This window comes from Homo sapiens, chromosome 19 (genome assembly GCF_000001405.40).
Source record: "Homo sapiens chromosome 19, GRCh38.p14 Primary Assembly".
In the NCBI taxonomy this organism is placed as follows: domain Eukaryota; kingdom Metazoa; phylum Chordata; class Mammalia; order Primates; family Hominidae; genus Homo; species Homo sapiens.
In genome coordinates, this window is record NC_000019.10 from 38,913,955 (window position 1) to 38,930,894 (window position 16,940).

The following is a 16,940-nucleotide window of genomic DNA, read 5'->3' on the forward strand; positions in this document are numbered from 1 at the left end:
AGTGCACGAGTCAGGAAGGAGTTTGGAGAGTTTCAATGTCAAGGCGGGTCGGGTGGACCAAACAAGACAGAAAGATGGGCTGAAGAGGAAGGTGGAGCAGCTCAGGTGGGGTCTTAGGGGCCTCGATGACCACTTTACCCTTTTACTCTGAGACGAAGCCACAGGAGACCTCTGAGCAGGGGTGGGACACCCAGCTGAGGTGCTCACAGGTCCCTCTGGCTGTGTGGCGAGGATGGAGAACAGGGAGCCAGTGAAGAGGCTTCCAGGGTTAACCAAAGGGGAGGGATCGGGGAGCAGGGCCCAGGTGGGGTCAGGGAGGAGAGAACAGTAGGCAGAGTCTGGAAATCTTTTTTGAGACAGAGTCTCGCTCTGTCACCCAGGCTGGAGTGTAGTAGTGTGATCCCAGCTCACTGCAACCTCTGCCTCCCGGGTTCAAGAATTCTGCCTCAGCCTCCCAAGCAGCTGGGATTACAGGTGCCCGCCACCACACCCAGCTCTTTTTTTTTTTAGATGGAGTCTCGCACTGTAGCCCATGCTGGAGTGCAGTGGCGCGATCTCCACTCACCACAACCTCCGCCTCCCAGGTTCAAGTGATTCTCCTGCCTCAGCCTCCCGAGTAGCTGGGATTACAAGCGTGCGCCACCACGCCCAGCTAATTTTTGTATTTTTAGTAGAGATGGGGTTTCACCATGTTGGCCAGGCTGGTCTTGAACTGACCTCAGGTGATCCGCCTGCCTTAGCCTCCCAAAGTGCTGGGATTACAGGCGTGAGCCACTGTACCTGGCCAGATTCTGGAAATATTCTGAAGGCGGTGTTGCCAGGGTTGCTAATGAAGTGGAGTGGATATGAGATAAAAGTCGAGGCTAACCCGAAGGGCTGTGGCCTGGGCAGCCGGGAGAATGTGCTGGGATGGGCATGCCTGAGGAGGAGCAGGTGCAGGCCAAGTGATCAGAGGACCAGGTAGCTTCCCTGAGTTTGGGATGCCCACTGGGCCCCTACCTGGAGCTGCAGAAGGGACAGCTGCATGGGGAGCTGGGGACTGAGGGGTGAGGCTGGGGCTGGGGTCAGCTCGAAGGAACCCTCAGAGGGTGACTCTGTTCTGGCTTGTCCCAGAGGAAGGGGAGAGAATTCAGCATCCTCTCAGCAACCCTGGTGGCCCCAGGCCAGCCTCCATGTGCACTGGGGGGTGGCTAGGCACTTCCAGCCATGGTCTTTGCAGCCACAGACCCTTTGAGGATAGTGCCTCCAAGCGGCTGCTCAGCAGCTCCTAGAGAGCCAGGCATCTCCCTTGTTCACAGATCCACAGAGGCCTTTGTCCTGACCATTTATTGGGGACTTTTTGCTCAGCACTGTAGGAGGAAAGAAGGAAGGAGGGATGGAAGCCTCTTCCTCTGCTTCTCCTGTCCCTAGAACCGTAAAGCCCAGACGTCCTGCTTCCCACTGGGACCCTCAATGATAACAGGGTCAGTGACTGACTCTGAGGCAGCAAGGACAGAGGAGAGGTGGACCCCGTGGTCCAGGGGCCCGGGCGTGGAGCTGACAGGAAGAACACAGATGTCAGGACGGGCTCAGCAACACAGGTCCCAGGTGTCCGGGGTCTCCTGAACTCCAGGAAGCAGTGACACCCCCGAGGGCTGCTGTGGGTGGGTTCTTAGCTTACAGCAGGCTGGCCAGGCAGCCCAGGCTTCCGGGGCTGGTTGGGGCCGATGTACTGGAGAGGCACGTGGGTAGGGGCTGTGATCCGATCAGTGCCGAGGTAGGACTGGAGGGCAGGGGGCACGAGCACTGAGCCGTCCTGGGGACAGAGCAGACCTCAGGACACTGCAGATGCCCCAGCCCTCCCCGGCGCTGAGCTGCCTCTCTGGGTGGGCCCCTCAGCCCCTCACCTTCTGCTGGTTACTCTCCAGGAGCGCGATGAGAAGGCGGGGGACAGCACAGGCGGTGGCGTTCACCTGTGAGACAGCCATGCTCGGAACTGGCGCCCACCCCAAGCTGAGCCCGGGGAGGAGCCAAGGTGGGTGGGTCTAGGGCGGCAGAGGCTGCGGGCGAGGGCACGCGGGCAGGAGGCTGTGCGGGCCTCACCGTGTGGGCAAACTGCAGCTCCCCAGCCTCGGTCTGGAACATGATGTGGAGGCGGCGGCTCTGGAAGTCTGTGCAGTTGGAAGCACTGGTGACCTGGGGTGGAGGAGCGGCAGGCTGAGCGGATCAGGGATGGGGGGCAGGCCTGTCCTCCTGCCCACCCCGTCCCCAGCGGCACAGGGCTCACCTCTCCAAAGCGGCCTCGGCCTGGCATCCAGGCCTCAATGTCAAACTTGCGGTAGGCGGGGAGGCCCAGTTCTTGGGTGGGCATATCCAGGACCCTGCGGTCAAGGACGAAGGTGTGGGGAAGGTCAGCGGGTGAGAGGAGGAGCAAGAGGAACAAATGGAAACGATGGAAGAGAAGGCAGCCAAAAAGCAGGAAAAAGCCCAGGAGTTTGAGACCAGCCTGGGCAACATAAGGAGACCTCATCTACTCCAAAAAAACAAACAAAAAAAAGGAGACGATAGTGCCAAAGGAGAGAGTTGTGAGGCCAGGGGTGGTTATGGAGAAGGTGGTACATGGAGGGGGAAGCACAAAAGAGGTTGATGGGAGGGGAAAAAGGCACGTGGCAGGGTCCACCGGCTCTTCACAGTGGCCATTCACACATTTGCACCTTCTAGGCACCCTCGGTTTTTTTTTTTTTTTTGAGACGGAGTCTGGCTCTGTTGCCCAGGCTGGAGAGCAGTGGCGCGATCTCGGCTCACTGCAACCTCCACCTTCAGGGTTCAAGTGATTCTCCTGTCTCAGCCTCCTGAGTAGATGGGATTACAGGTGTGTGCCACCATGCCCGGCTGATTTTTATATTTTTAGTATAGATGGGGTTTCACCATGTTGGCCAGGCTGGTCTTGAACTCCTGACCTCAGGTGATCCGCCTGTCCCGGCCTCCCAAAGTGCTGGGATTGTAGGTGTGAGCCACCGTGCCTGGCCTTTATTTTTTTTTTTTAGAGACAGGGTCTCACTCTGTTGCCCCAGGCTAGAGTGCAGTGGCATGATCACAGCTCATTGTAGCCTCCACCTCCTGGGTTCAAGCAATTCTCCTGCCTCAGTCTCCCAAGTAGCTGGGACCACAGGTGTGTGCCACCATACCCGGCTAATTTTAAAAAACGTAAAGACGAGCTCTCGCTGTGTTGCCCAGGCTGGTCTTGAACTCCTGGCCTCAAGCAATCCTCCTGCCATGGCCTCCCAAAGTGCTGGAATTACAGGCGTGAGCCACCACACCCGGCTTACGCTCCCAGTTTTTTACAATGGGTCACCCAGAAAAGAAGTCCACATTTCTCAGCCTCTCTTGAAAGCTGCGTGTGACTGACAGGGTGAGAGGAAGTGGGGTTCCCAACCTCTGGCTCCCCCTTTTCCCACCCCCACTCTCCACTGGGAGGTGAAAAAGTATCTTGGGTTGCACAGATGAGGCAGTGGCCCAGAGAGAGGGGGAGCAGCAGGAGGAAAGGGGCCCGGGTCTCCACTCTGGCACACCGTGCACTGTTCGTGCTTCTGTTACAGTCCTGTGAGGGACGACCGGCACACGGCAGACAGATTGGGATCCTGTATATGCTCCTGTAATCCTTGTACAGGAAAATGGGGGCAACGAGGGGGCTGGAGAGGTGGTTCCAGAGCGAAGAGCAGCTGGCCAGCCCCTTGTCCCTCCCCTACCCCACCCCTGCCATCCCTGGATCCCTGGCCCCTCTCCACACCGGAAGTGCAAGCCCAGCTCTGTCAAGATCTCCATCTGAAGGGACAGGAACTCCTCCAGCAGCTGTGAGCTCTGCTCCAGCCCAGGGCCTGTCACCCCAAACATCTCCACCTGGGACAGAGGGCACAGGAGTCAGGAGGCTCTGAGCTCTTGGGGTGGCCCCCCACCCCAGCCCCGTTTAGTCCCAGCGACACCAGCCTTGGTGAAGTGGTGTACTCGATACAGCCCCCGGGGTTCCTGTCCCGTGTTTGTCTCTGCCCGGTAGCAGGTGCTGGAGCAAACCATCCTGGCAGAGAGCAGGGAAAGTCGGGTCAAGGAGGGAAGACTGATTGTCACAGGTGGGGTCAAGGTCTAAGGAAACCAGGTGTCACCTGACTGGCAGGTCCCTGAAGGCCACGGTGTGGTCCATGAAGTAGCCTGGGAGGAGAGACCACAGGGTGAGCCAGGGCTGCCAGTGCCCAGAGGAAGCCTTTGGAAGATTAAGAGGCACTCCCTCTGGTGGATGCAACCCCAGGTCAAGGCCCGGGGCTGGATTATCACTGTACTGCTGTACAGTAAACAACCTACACAGCCGTACATGTTGGCCCTGGGGCTGCTGAGCTGCTCGGGGCAGGTGATCCCCCCCAGTGCTCCCTGGACGCTCCCAGTTGTCCTTCCACATCACTCCTGCTCCTCCCCACCACCCACACAGGTCCTCACCTGCAAGCCCCACCTCCGCTGTTCCAGCCAGGTTGAGATCTTTGAAGCGGGCAGGGTCGATGTTGTAAATTTGGGATGGGTTGGCATTTGGTGTCATCCCACAGCCTTCCTGGGGGAGGAGGCCAGGCCACAGGGATCAGGGGACAGGTAACCCTGGCCTCTCGTTTTACAGTCCCAACCCCAGCTCCTCCCCTGAAAACATCTGGAGCTGCCCTGGCCTCCCTGGTATGGCCTGGCCCCCTCAACCCAGCCCCAGGGCGGTCTCCTCAGGTTTCCCTGCCTCGGGCACCCACGGCAGGGCCTGACACCCAGGTGGGCGAGGGAAGCGGAGAGGCCTCACTCACAAACACTGCTCCGCGGAGAAGGTCTGGCACCGTCATGGGGGTGAAGCCCTGTTCAGGGGAGAGGATGAGTGAGCAGAGCTGGGACCCCTACCAGACCCCAAGCTCAGCCCTGAAGAAGGGGTGCTGCAGAGCCCCTTCCTCCTCAGACGAAACTGAGGCAGGGGCTGGCGCAGTGGCTCACCCATGTAATCCCAGCACTTTGGGAGGCTGAGGTGGGCGGATCACTTGAGGCCAGGAGTTTGAGACCAGCCTGGCCAACATGGCAAAACCCCCTCTCCACTAAAAAGGCAAAAATTAGCCGGCATGGAGATCGTGCTACTGCACTCCAGTCTGGGTGACAGAGCGAACTCTGTCAAAAAGAAAAAAAAAAAAATTAGCCAGCATGGTGGCATGTGCCTGTAATCCCAGCTACTCAGGAGGCTGAGGCAGGAGAATTACTTAAACCCGGGAGGTGGAGGTTGCAGTGAGCCAAGATTGCACCACTGTACTCCAGCCTGGGTGACAGAGCGAGACTCCGTCTCAAAAAACAAAAAAGTACAGATTTGGCCACACCCTCCCCTGCTTAAAAGCCTCCCATGGCTCCCTAGTACCCTCTGAAAATGTCTGAGTTCCTCACCGTGACCAATGCTCCATGCAACCAGTCCCTGCCATGTTTCAATGGATGCTATGATTCCCAAATGCTCCCTTTATACCGCAAGCAGGCAGTGAGGTGCAATGATTACAAGCACAGGCTCTAGGCCCAGCTCCAGACTGGCTGTGAGACCTTGGGCTATAGGTACCTCCCCTCTCTGGGCCTCAAGCCCTCTCTGTAAAGTGGGGATGATGACAGCACCCACTTCATAAAGTTGTCGTAAGGACTAAATGTGTCAATGATACACATGAAGCTCTGAGAGCAGTGACTAGGGCAGAGCAGAGATCACTCCCATCCCCGTTGGGCCCTCTGAGCTCAGCTTCGATGCCACCCCCTCCAGGCAGCCCTCCTATCTTGGCCCATACCCGGCGGAGAAGCTTGTTGAATGTGAAGTTGACCAGGCCGTGCTGCAGGAGGGCTCCAGCCCCGCGCAGGTAATAGGACCGGTGGCCAGACACGTGGGACAGGCGCCTGGGAGACAGACAGACAGGCGGGTGCACATGGGCCAGGCTGGCAGGGAATGTGGGGATGAAAACACCCGGGGGAAGAGGCCCGGCTGCTGGGTGGGGCTGGGGCATCAAAGATTCATGGCATTTCCACATCTCACGCTGAGGCCAATGAGGCAGGAGCCAGCTGTCGGGGTGCAGGCAGCTGGGAGAGGGGCGTGGGGAGCCAGGGGAGGGGCTCACTTCTGACGGATGATGTCGAGTTTCTCGCCAATTTCCAGGTGGCCCCGAGGTTGGAAGGAGAAAACTGGATGTGGGTGAAAAGCACCGGTGTAAGGCAGCGGGGAGAGAGGGATGGGGCCCAGATAGAAGCTTCCAGAGACAGCAGAGAGGAGGGACGGTGAGAGAAAATAAAGGAGGGGCAGGAGGAGAGAAGGGAGAAGAAGACACGGAAAGGGAGGGAAAGGGAAGAAAAGACAGACAGGAAGGGAGGGAGATAAAAACAGAGACAGGGAGAGGAAATGAGAGGAGGCAGAGAGGGAAATAAGAGGGCGCGGGGTGGGGAAGGCAGAGTTAGAAACAGAGGAGAGAGGCCAGAGGAGAAGGAAACACCACGAGGAAGGGAGGAGGAGAATCAGAGAGGAGGCACAGAGTTGGGGAGAAAAAGCCCCGGAGACAGGGACCAAAGCAGGGGGGTCAGAGAGAGAGACAGAGACACACACACACTCACACACATACATACACACACAGAGATACACACAGAGGTACGAAGACACACACACATATACAGACACACAGAGACAGACACATACACAGACACGCAGAGACAGACACACAGATACACGGATACAGACACACAAAGACAGACACGCACACACAGATACACACAAAGACACAGATACACAGACACAGATACAGACATACACACAGAGATACACGGAGATATGCAGATACACACACAGACACACAGAGACAGACACATACACACAGACACAGAGAAAGACACACAGATACATACACACAGATACATAGACACACACAGACACACACACACACAAACACAGATATACACACACAGAGATAGACACACACATAGACACACACACACAGACACAGACACAGATACAGACACACACAAACACAGACACACACACACAGATACAGACACACACAGATACACAGATACAGACACACACAGATACACAGATACAGACACACACATACAGATACAGACACACAGATACAGACACACATGACACACAGTCACACAACACATACATACACGACACACACTCACACACATACGATACAATCACACAACACAGGGTGAGACTGCCCAATGGTGAAGGGGGAGAGAATGAAAACCCAAGGACCGCCTCTCAGAGACAGCTCGAGCTCGGCCAAGGCAGGAAGCTGGAGCCACCTCCTGTACCGCCAGGAGTTCTCCAGGCTCCAGACATGTTCCCAGACCCCAGGGGCCCCCACCCCGAGACCCCAGAACCCCCACACCGCAGGGCTTGTCAGCTCCCAGGCCTGGGGTGTGGCCCACCTGGCTTGTCTCCGACCATGTGGAGCACTCGAGCCTGGCTCTCATCCCCGACGGGCTGCAGGGAGACAGCAGGAGTCACGGAAAGGTGGCACTAGGTGGGCCCCTGGCCTCCCTGCCACCCAGCACGGTGCTCACCACGTCTGGGTGGGTCTGGTTGGGCAGCTTCAGCGCCTGCAGGTAGAACTGCTCCTCAAGCTGGGCCTCCCTGGGGTACAGGTGAACAAGCTCCTTCCGGATCTCCCGGCCACGTGCCCGCAGACCCTGGTACTTGGGGTCCTGGGGGCAGCACAGGTGGGCTCAGCCCGGGAGAGGGTCAGGACTCCCTCATCCAGTGTGACCTTGATCCTGACCGGCAGAGCCCCTGTGGTGGACATTCATGCCTCTTCTCCAGGCCCAGGATCCTGAACGTCTTCGCAGAACTTCCCTTACCACCACATGGCAGGTTTGTGGGGAAAAGAATCAGGCCTGGCCAACTAGAACGTTCTATTGCCTTGGCCACAATGACTGGCTCAGAGACAGGCACCTGATGTCAGCTGAACTCATGAGAATCAGCCCCAGGACTTTAACTGGAACTATCAGGAAAGCGTGCTTGACTTTGCCTCCTACTTACACAAGGAGAGAAAGCTGGCCTGGGAATGGGAGGAACGTAGGACCAAATATGGAGCCAGCACCTGGATCCAGCCGCACCTGAAGCCAGTTTTAGTTTCATGCATCAATAGAGCCTATTTTTTTTTTCCCCTTAAACCTGTTTGAGTTGTTTTCTGTTACAATAGTAGAATCGTGACTGGCAGGGTATCCTCCCTGCCCACCCCCAACCCTGGATAGGACATCAACTCTTCACAGTACCTGCTGCACTTCACCACTGTCCTGGTTTGCCTGGTAGAAAAGAGACAGGGTGGGTGATTAGGTTGACAAAGTCGAGGGTGGGGAAGAGAAAAAATGGTGAAAGGTCAAACAAGGCCAGAGGATCTTAGTCTCCTGCTCTGTCAGTGCCTAGCTGGGTCCCTCTGCAACTCTGTGTTTCTGTTTCTCTATTGCTAACGCTACAAGGAGGCAAGATAATTAACAGTAATCACAGCCGCAGATCCGTATAGGAAGTGATGCCTCCATGCCAGGCTCTATGTACAGGGCTCTCCCATGCCATGATTTCTTCAAAATCCACTTTAGGAGGTAGGCATTCGTGTAAACCCTGTGATATGGTTTGGCTGTGTCTCCACCCAAATAATATCTCAAATTGTAATTCCACCTGTTGAGGAAGGGACCTGGTGGGAGGTGATCGGGTCCTGGGGGCGGTTTCCCCCATGCTGTTATCCTGATAGTGAGTTCTCACGAGATCTGATGGTTTAAAAGCATTTGGCAGTTACCCCCTGTGGCTGTCTCCAGCCACCATGTGGAAGGGAAAGTGCCTTGCTTCCCCTTCCGCCATGATTTTAAGTTTCCTGAGGCCTCCCAGCCATATGGAACTGTGAGTCAATTAAACCTCTTTTCTTTATAAATTACCCAGTCTCAGGTATTCTTTTTTTTTTTTTTGAGACGGAGTCTTGCTCTGTCGCCCAGGCTGGAGTGCAATGGCGCGATCTTGGCTCACTGCAAGCTCCACCTCCTGGGTTCACGCCATTCTCCTGCCTCAGCCTCCTGAGTAGCTGGGACTACAGGTGCCCGCCACCACGATCGGCTAATTTTTTTTGTATTTTTCGTAGAGACAAGGTTTCACCATGTTAGCCAGGATGGTCTCGATCTCCTGACTTTGTGATCCACCTGCCTTGGTCTCCCAAAGTGCTGGGATTACAGGCGTGAGCCACCGCGCCCAGCCTGATCTCAGGTTTTCTTTTTTTTTTTTTTTTTTTTGAGACGGAGTCTCGCTCTGTCGCCCAGGCTGGAGTGCAGTGGGGGGATCTCGGCTCACTGCAAGCTCCGCCTCCCGGGTTCACGCCATTCTCCTGCCTCAGCCTCCCTAGTAGCTGGGACTACAGGCGCCCGCCACTACGCCCGGCTAATTTTTTTGTATTTTTAGTAGAGACGGGGTTTCACCGTTTTAGCCGGGATGGTCTCGATCTCCTGACCTCGTGATCCGCCCACCTCGGCCTCCCAAAGTGCTGGGATTACAGGCGTGAGCCACCGCGCCCGGCCTCAGGTTTTCTTTATAGCAGTGTGAAAATGGGGCCAGGCGTGGTGGTTCACAAATGTAATCTCAGCACTTTGGGAGGCTGAGGTGGGCAGATCACCTGAGGCCAGCAGTTGGAGAGCAGCCTGGCCAACATGGAGAAACCTCATCTCTAAAACCTTGTACTAAAAATACAAAAATCAGGCCGGGCTTGGTGGCTTACGCCTGTAATCCCAGCACTTTGGAAGGCTGAGGCGGGCGGATCACGAGGTCAGGAGATCGAGACCATCCTGGCTAACATGGTCTCTACTAAAAATACAGAAAAAAAATTAGCTGGGCGCGGTGGCGGGCGCCTGTAGTCCCAGCTACTCGGGAGGCTGAGGCAGGAGAATGGCGTGAACCCGGGAGGCAAAGCTTACAGTGAGCCGAGATAGTGCCACTGCAGTCTGGCCTAGGTGGAAGAGCGAGACTCAGTCTCAAAAAAAAATTAGCTGGGTGCAGTGGCACGTGCCTGTAATCCCAGCGACTCAGGAGGCTGAGGCACGAGAATCCCTTGAACCTGGGAGGTGGAGGTTGCAGTGAGCCGAGATCGTGCCACTGTACTCTGGTCTGGGTGACACAGTGAGACTCTGTCTCAAAAAAAAAAAAGAAGAAAATGGACTAATATACCCTGTCTGTAGATTCGAAAATGGAAGCTCAGAGAGGTAAAGTCTATCAGTGTGCATTTGAGGGCCTGCAACCAAGGCCCCTTGACATTCTGAACCTTCCATGATCCTAAGCAGCTGAGGGAATCGAACAGCCTGGGTCTGAATGTTGGGCACCTACATGCTGTGAGCCCTTGGGAAAATCTCTGCCCCCTCTGAGCCTCAGTATCCCCATCTGTGAAGTGGGATGATAACAGGACCTCCCTGGGCAGGGCTGTTGTGCAGCTTCCCTGAGATGAGTTAGCACTCAAAGAACATTAAATGATCCATTGTGTTGCTTTCATTGGTTGTCCATGATGTAGACAGCCCGAGGCTGGCCACTCAGTAGGTGCTGGGAGATGTGATTCTTGGTGGCAGAGGCCTCCAAACAGAGTGGTAAAAACCAACTGCCTAGGTGCGAACCTTGCCTCTCCCACTTCCTGGCTGTGAGACTTACGTACTTTTTCTGGTTGTTTTTTCTCGGAGACAGGGTCTCACTCTGTCGCCCAGGCTGCAGTGTGATGGTGCGATCATAGCTAACTGCAGCCTCAAACTCTTGGACTCAAGCGATCTTCCTGCCTCAGCCCCAGAGTAGCTGGGACTACAAGTGCGTACCCCCATACCCGGCCATTTAGGCCCGTTTTAATCTCTTAGGGCCTCACTTTTTCCCAGCTGTAAAATTGGGTTTGTATTGTTCCTGTGTGACAAATGGCTGTGAGGATTAAGAGTATGGAAAACACCTGGTATGGTGTGTAGCGACTTCTACATAAAGGTCTGCTGTTGTTTTTATGATTGTTTTTAAGCCGTCTGTGGCAGACACTGTTGGTTGTATAACCCAAGATCCCTCCTTCCAGGCCAGGCGCAGTGGCTCACACCTGTAAGCCCAGCACTTTGGGAGGCCAAGGCGGGTGGATCACCTGAGGTGATGAGTTTGAGACCAGCCTGGCCAACATGGTGAAACCCTATCTCTACTAAAAATACAAAATTAGCCGGGCGTGGTGGCGCATGTCTGTAATCCCAGCTACTGGGGAGGCTGAGGCAGAAGAATCACTTGAACCCAGGGGGCAGAGGGTGCAGTGAGCCCAGATCATGCCACTGCACTCCAGCCTGGGTAACAGAGTGAGACTCGGTCTCAAAAAAATAAAAACAAAATAAAGATCCCTTCTTCCTCCTTCCCCACAGAACTCTGACGCAGTTCACCCTTCCCTGGTAGCCTGTAGTTCAGGGGAAGTGGGCCCAGGTGGAGGATGGCCTCTGATCAGCCTATGCCGGCTGCCGGAACTCCATTCCTCCGGCTGACAACTGGAGTGTGGTGGGGGTCTGGGCCCAGGGGACACGAGGGGACTTTGCTGGATGCTTCAGGAAAGGTGTACTTGCTCCTGAAAAAGGAACTCAAGCCAGAGAAGTCTCTGTCTCCTTCCCCTGGCACAGTCATGTGAGGAGATGCTGGACTACAGCAGCCATCTGGAAACCCTGATGGGAAACTGAGGAAAGATCAGTGCAGTGAAGTTGCCGGTACAGAGAGAAGGAAAGGACCTGGGCTGGGGATGCTGGAAGAACCGCTAATTAATCAGCCCTAGGGATGCCAGGGTCCTGCAACAGCTCGCTATGTGAGGTAATGCATGTCCACATTGTTCACGCTTGCTTATTTATTTATTTAGGGAGTCTCGCTCTGTCGCCCAGGCTGGAGTGCAGTGGCGCCATCTCAGCTCACTGCAACTTCCGCCTCCTAGGTTCAAGCGATTCTCCTGCCTCAGCCTCCCAAGTACCTGGGATTACAGGTGTCCACCGCCATGCCGCCTAACTTTTGTATTTTTAGTAGAGATGGGGTTTCACCATGTTGCCCAGGCTGGTCTCAAACTCCTGACCTCAGCTGATCCACCAACCTAGGCCTCCCGAGTAGCTGGGATTATAGGCGTGAGCCACCGTGCCAGCCTGTTCAAGTTCTTTAAATTCGGTTTCCTGTTACCTGTGTCTAGAGACACCCTCGTGGCCACTCCCCACCTACTCAGGGCACCATGCTCACCAGCAGGGCCCGCACTGCCTCAGTCACAGCTGCCTTCTCTTCCTCCAGGCTCCGGATCTGCTCCTGCAGCTGCCTCAGCTCCTGCCATGTCGAGATCTGGGGTGGATATAAGAGAAAAGGAGATGAAGCAGCCATCACCCCTACCCTTCTCTCTGGAGCCCACTGGCCACCTGGACCTGCGGCGCAGTGAGGCAGAGATCCCTACCTAGCCCTCAGTGGCCATCCTCCCCTCCTCCCTTCAGTACTGGAATGCCCTGAGGTTCAGCTGGCCACACAGATGCCCAGAATTCAGACACACTGGCCGAGCATAGTGGCTCATAACTATAATCCCAGCACTTTGGGAGGCCAAGGTGGGTGGATCACTTGAGATCAGGAGTTCAAGACCAGCCTGGTCAACATGGTGAAACCCCATCTCTACTAAAAATACAAAAATCACCCAGGTGTGATGGCAGGCACCTGTAATCCCAGCTACCCAGGAGGCTGAGGCACGAGAATCGCTTGAAACCAGGAAGCGGAGGTTGCACTGAGCTGAGATCGTGCCACTGCACACTCCAGCCTGGGCAACAAGAGTGAAACTCTGTCTCAAACAAAAAAAGTCTCTAAACTAGCACTTTAAAAAATCATGGCTGGGTGTGGCACTTTGGGAGGCCTAGGTGGGAGGACTGCTTGAGTGAGCCCAGGAGTTCCAGACCAGCCTGGGCAACACAGGAAGACCTGCCTCTAAGAAATTTTTTTTTTTTTTTTTTTTCTGAGACAGAGTCTCACTCTGTCACCCAGGCTGGAGTGTAGTGGCATGATCTTGGCTCATTACAACCTCTGCCTCCCAGGTTCAGGTGATTCTCCTGCCTTAGCTTCCTGAGTAGCTGGGACCACAGGTACGTGCCACTGCACCTGGCTAAGTTTTGTATTTTTTAATAGAGGCAGGGTTTCACCATGTTGGCCAGGCTGGTCTGGAATTCCCGGCCTCACGCAATCTGCCTGCCTTGGCCTCCCAAAGTGCTGGGATTGCAGGTGTGAGCCACAGCACCCGGTCTCTACAAAAAAACTTTAAAAAAATTAGCTGGGTGACAGATTGACACCTTGTCTCAAAAACAAAAAAAATTGTTACAATGTACATAATATGGGAGGCTGAGGCAGGTGGATCATTTGAGCCCAGGAGTTCGAGACCAGCCTGGGCAACATGGAGAAACCCTGTCTCTACAAAAATTAGCTGGGCATGGTGGCACATGCTTGTAATCCCAGCTACTTGGGAGGCTGAGGTTGGAGGATTGCTTGTGCTTGAGCCTGGAAGTCTCACGGAGCCTGAGAGGCTGCCATGAGCCAAGATCATGCCACTGCACTCCAGCGTGGGTGACAGAGTGAGACCTTGTCTCCAAAAAAAAAAAAAATTTATTATTTTTTTGAGGAACTGCCATACGGTTTTCCATGGCAGCCGTACCACTTTATACACATTCCCAACAGCAATGCACAACGATTCCGACGTTTCCACAACACAATTCTTGCCAACACTTGTCCTTTTCTGTTTTGTTTTTAATAATAGCTACTTGAGGCTGGGTGTGGTGGCTCACACCTGTAATCCCAGCACTTTGGGAGGCCGAGGCAGGTGGATCACAAAGTTAGGAGTTCGAGACCAGCCTGGCCAAGATGGTGAAACCCTGTCTCTACTAAAAATACAAAAATTAATTGGGGGTGGAGGCGTGCGCCTGTAATCCCAGCTACTCAGGAGGCCAAGGCAGGAGAATTGCTTGAACCCGGGAGGTAGAGATTGCAGTGAGCCAAGACTGCACCACTGCACTCTAGCCTGGGCGACACAGCAAGACTCCATCTCAAACAAACAAACAAACAGCTGCTCAAATGCACGTCTAAACTACTACTTTGAAAATGAAGAGAATAGCCAGGCGCAGTGGCTCATGCCTGTAATCCCAGCACTTTGGGAGGCCGTGGCCAGTGGATCATTTGAAGTTAGGAGTTCGAGACCAGCCTGGCCAACATGGCAAAATCCATCTCTACTAAAAATACAAAAATTAGTTGGGTGTGGTGGTGCACAACTATAACCCTAGCTACTTGGGAGACTGAGGCACGACGATCACTTGAATCAAGGAGGCGGAGGTTGCAGTGACCGGAGATTGTGCGACTGCACTCAGGCCTGGGCGACAGAGGAAGACTCAGTCTTAAAAAACAAACGAACAAACAACAAAAACACACCCCTGGCCCCCCCCCCCGCAAAAAAAAAAAACAACAACTAGCACTTTACAAATGAAAGAGAATATAATTAAAGAACAAGAATGCATCACACGTGGTAAGAGCAATAATTGTTAATGAAACCGGTTTCAATTTTGGGTGTGTGTACTGGGTCAGGATGTGAAATGTATTTCTTACTCTTGGCCACAAAGTTTGAAAAAGCCTGCTAAAGGATGTGACGCTCTAAATTATCTACATGGCCATCAAATGGAATTTTCCATCCTACCTCCAGGCTTTTGTATATTCTGGTCCCCTACTTGGGATACTCTTCTTCCCTCTTCCCTGGTGATTTCTCAATCCACAGATCTTTGTTTAATGCCACCTCCTCTGAGAAGTCCTCCCAGGCTGTCCTCCACTTTGCCTTCACAGCATTTACCACAGATTATAATGAGTATATCTGTCTCTATGAATTTGATTACTCTAGGTAGTCAAATTTACCAGAAATTGTAATTAGTATATATGTATAGTTGTATATGTTAAATGTCTTTTAGTGGGGCATGGTGGCTCACATCTGTACTCCTAGCACTTTGGGAGGCCAAGGTGGGTGGATCACTTGAGGTCAAGAGTTCGAGACCAGCCTGGCCAACATGGTGAAACCCCGTCTCTACTAAAAATACAAAAATTATGCAGATGTGGTGGCATGTGCCTGTAATCCCAGCTACTCGGGAGGCTGAGGTGGGAGAATCACTTCAACCTGGGAGGCAGAAGTCGCAGCGCACTCCAGCCTGGGAGACAAGAGCAAAACTCCATCTCAAAAAAAAAATGTCTTTTACTAGACTGTGAACTCAGATCATGAGAGGGCACAGCAGGGTACTTAAGATTGTGGAGTCTGGGTGTGGTGGCTCATGCCTGTAATCTCAGCATTTTGGGAGGCCAGGGTGGGAGGATCACTTGGGCGCAGGAGTTCAAGACCAGCCTGGGCAACATAGTATGTCCCTGTCTCAACAAAAAATACAAAAGTTTAGCCGGGCGTGGTGGTGTCTGCCTGTAGTCCCAGCTACACGGGAGGCTGAGTGGGAGGATTATTTGAGCTCAGGAATTCAAGGTTCCAGTGAGCTATAATTGTACCACTGTACTCCATCCTGCCATCCTGGGCGACAGAACAACACCCTATCTCAAAAAAAAAAAAAAAAAAAGTGGATTCTAGGCCAGAAAGCACAGGTTAAAATTCCCACTCTGCCACTTCCCAGTTGCATGACCTAGCGCAAGTGAATTAGCTTCTCGAAGCCTTAGTTTCCCCTCTGATAAAATGGGAGAAATAATGGCACCTACTTCATAGAGTTGCTGTGAAAATTAAACGAGGTTAAAGTGAATAAAGCACTTCAAACAGGCTGGGAGGGGAGTCCAAGAGAGGAATGGGAAGACGTGGGGACCCCACTATCGTTAGCACCTCAACACAGAGATATTGTGAACCCGGTCCTAATTCCCTTTTATAAGTGCTAGCAATTTTATTATTATTCACCGCATATTTGCAACATCTAGAACACCGGAATATAGCAGTTGCACCTTAAGTATCAGTTTAATAGAACCATTCATTAATGGATTCATTCATTCATTCATTAACTCTATTTAACTGCCTGCTATGTGTGGCGGAGGTGCACAACTCTCCCTACCTCTCTCTCTAAACGCAAGAGCTCCACCACACCCCAGCCCTGACCCCGTCCGATTCACACTTGGCTCCCCATTTTCCTTTGTGGTCTTAGGGAAAGGCTGGCATGAGGTTGCAGCACGGAGGGCAATGTCACATAGCAAGTTCCTAAAGGACAGGAGGTACCCAGCGAGCAGTATGAAACAAGCGCATAATGGGTGTCCAGGACACAGTAGGCATTCTTGGCACATAGTAGGGCCTCAGCACTCACTGGACAACTGGCACATAAGTGGGTGCCATGCACAAGACGTTGGCTAACTTGGGAAATAACTAAAATTCCTACTACAGGTTCGCCCCCTGCCGGAGGGCATCTTGCAAACCCAATTCTTCCGTAAAGCAAACGTCTGCGCCCCCCGGCCGGCGCAGGCGCACTCACGATCGCGGGCAGGTCCGCCGAGCGCAGCTCCCCCTTGCGGAGCTCCAGGGCGTGTGCGGCCTCTTCTGGGCATGCGCAGAACCGCTCTATGTCCAGCTGAGGGAGTGCGCTGTAGCCCTCGCGCGCATACTCGTACAGGAGGTTCCGGTTTCGTTTCTCTGTAGTGAAACTTCTCCTTGGACTATCGTTGGAGATGCAGCCTCCCCGGGGCCGGAACCCCCGACGAGTCAGCAAAGGCCACAAGCGCCGCGCCATGGACGCAGCCATCTTGGACCGGGAACAAGGCGGCACTTCGTCCCGCCCACTCCGCGTTTAGACCAATTGCAAGGCAGCGAACCTGACCGTGACGAGCCAATCAGATCCTGAGGAAAGTTGACCGCGATAGAGTCCTTCGTCGCCCAATCGTCGTCTGTGTCCCGCCTCTT

The 16,940-nt window shown here is 54.0% G+C and overlaps 1 protein-coding gene across 2 annotated transcripts, besides 2 other annotated features; it reads right to left on the minus strand.

Moving 5' to 3' along the window:
- On the minus strand, positions 1,312–16,809 carry SARS2 (seryl-tRNA synthetase 2, mitochondrial). 2 transcript variants are annotated; one of them, NM_001145901.2, is made up of 17 exons: positions 16,516–16,809; positions 12,251–12,346; positions 8,284–8,313; positions 8,048–8,124; positions 7,573–7,642; positions 7,438–7,492; positions 6,132–6,195; positions 5,808–5,913; positions 4,812–4,859; positions 4,468–4,576; positions 4,140–4,185; positions 3,967–4,054; positions 3,770–3,879; positions 2,267–2,360; positions 2,083–2,175; positions 1,887–1,952; positions 1,312–1,795 (listed from the first exon to the last, which is right to left on the minus strand). In NM_001145901.2, the coding sequence occupies exons 1-17, from the start codon at positions 16,780–16,782 to the stop codon at positions 1,652–1,654; spliced, it is 1,563 nt and encodes a 520-aa protein (NP_001139373.1). In that variant the 5' UTR covers positions 16,783–16,809; the 3' UTR covers positions 1,312–1,651. The 2 variants fall into 2 exon arrangements, with proteins under 2 accessions (NP_001139373.1, NP_060297.1); NM_017827.4 differs by lacking the exon at positions 8,048–8,124 and having other exon boundaries at positions 7,573–7,713.
- Positions 4,185–5,055: an enhancer, noted in NCBI's record as "H3K4me1 hESC enhancer chr19:39408779-39409649 (GRCh37/hg19 assembly coordinates)". NCBI's record gives its function as "activates a minimal SCP1, AML or CMV promoter by ChIP-STARR-seq in primed H9 embryonic stem cells {active_cell/tissue: H9 hESC(primed)}" and the evidence as "EXISTENCE:reporter gene assay evidence [ECO:0000049][PMID:30033119]".
- Positions 16,434–16,893: an enhancer, noted in NCBI's record as "active region_14604". NCBI's record gives its function as "activates an Ori minimal core promoter by ATAC-STARR-seq in GM12878 lymphoblastoid cells {active_cell/tissue: GM12878}" and the evidence as "EXISTENCE:reporter gene assay evidence [ECO:0000049][PMID:35858748]".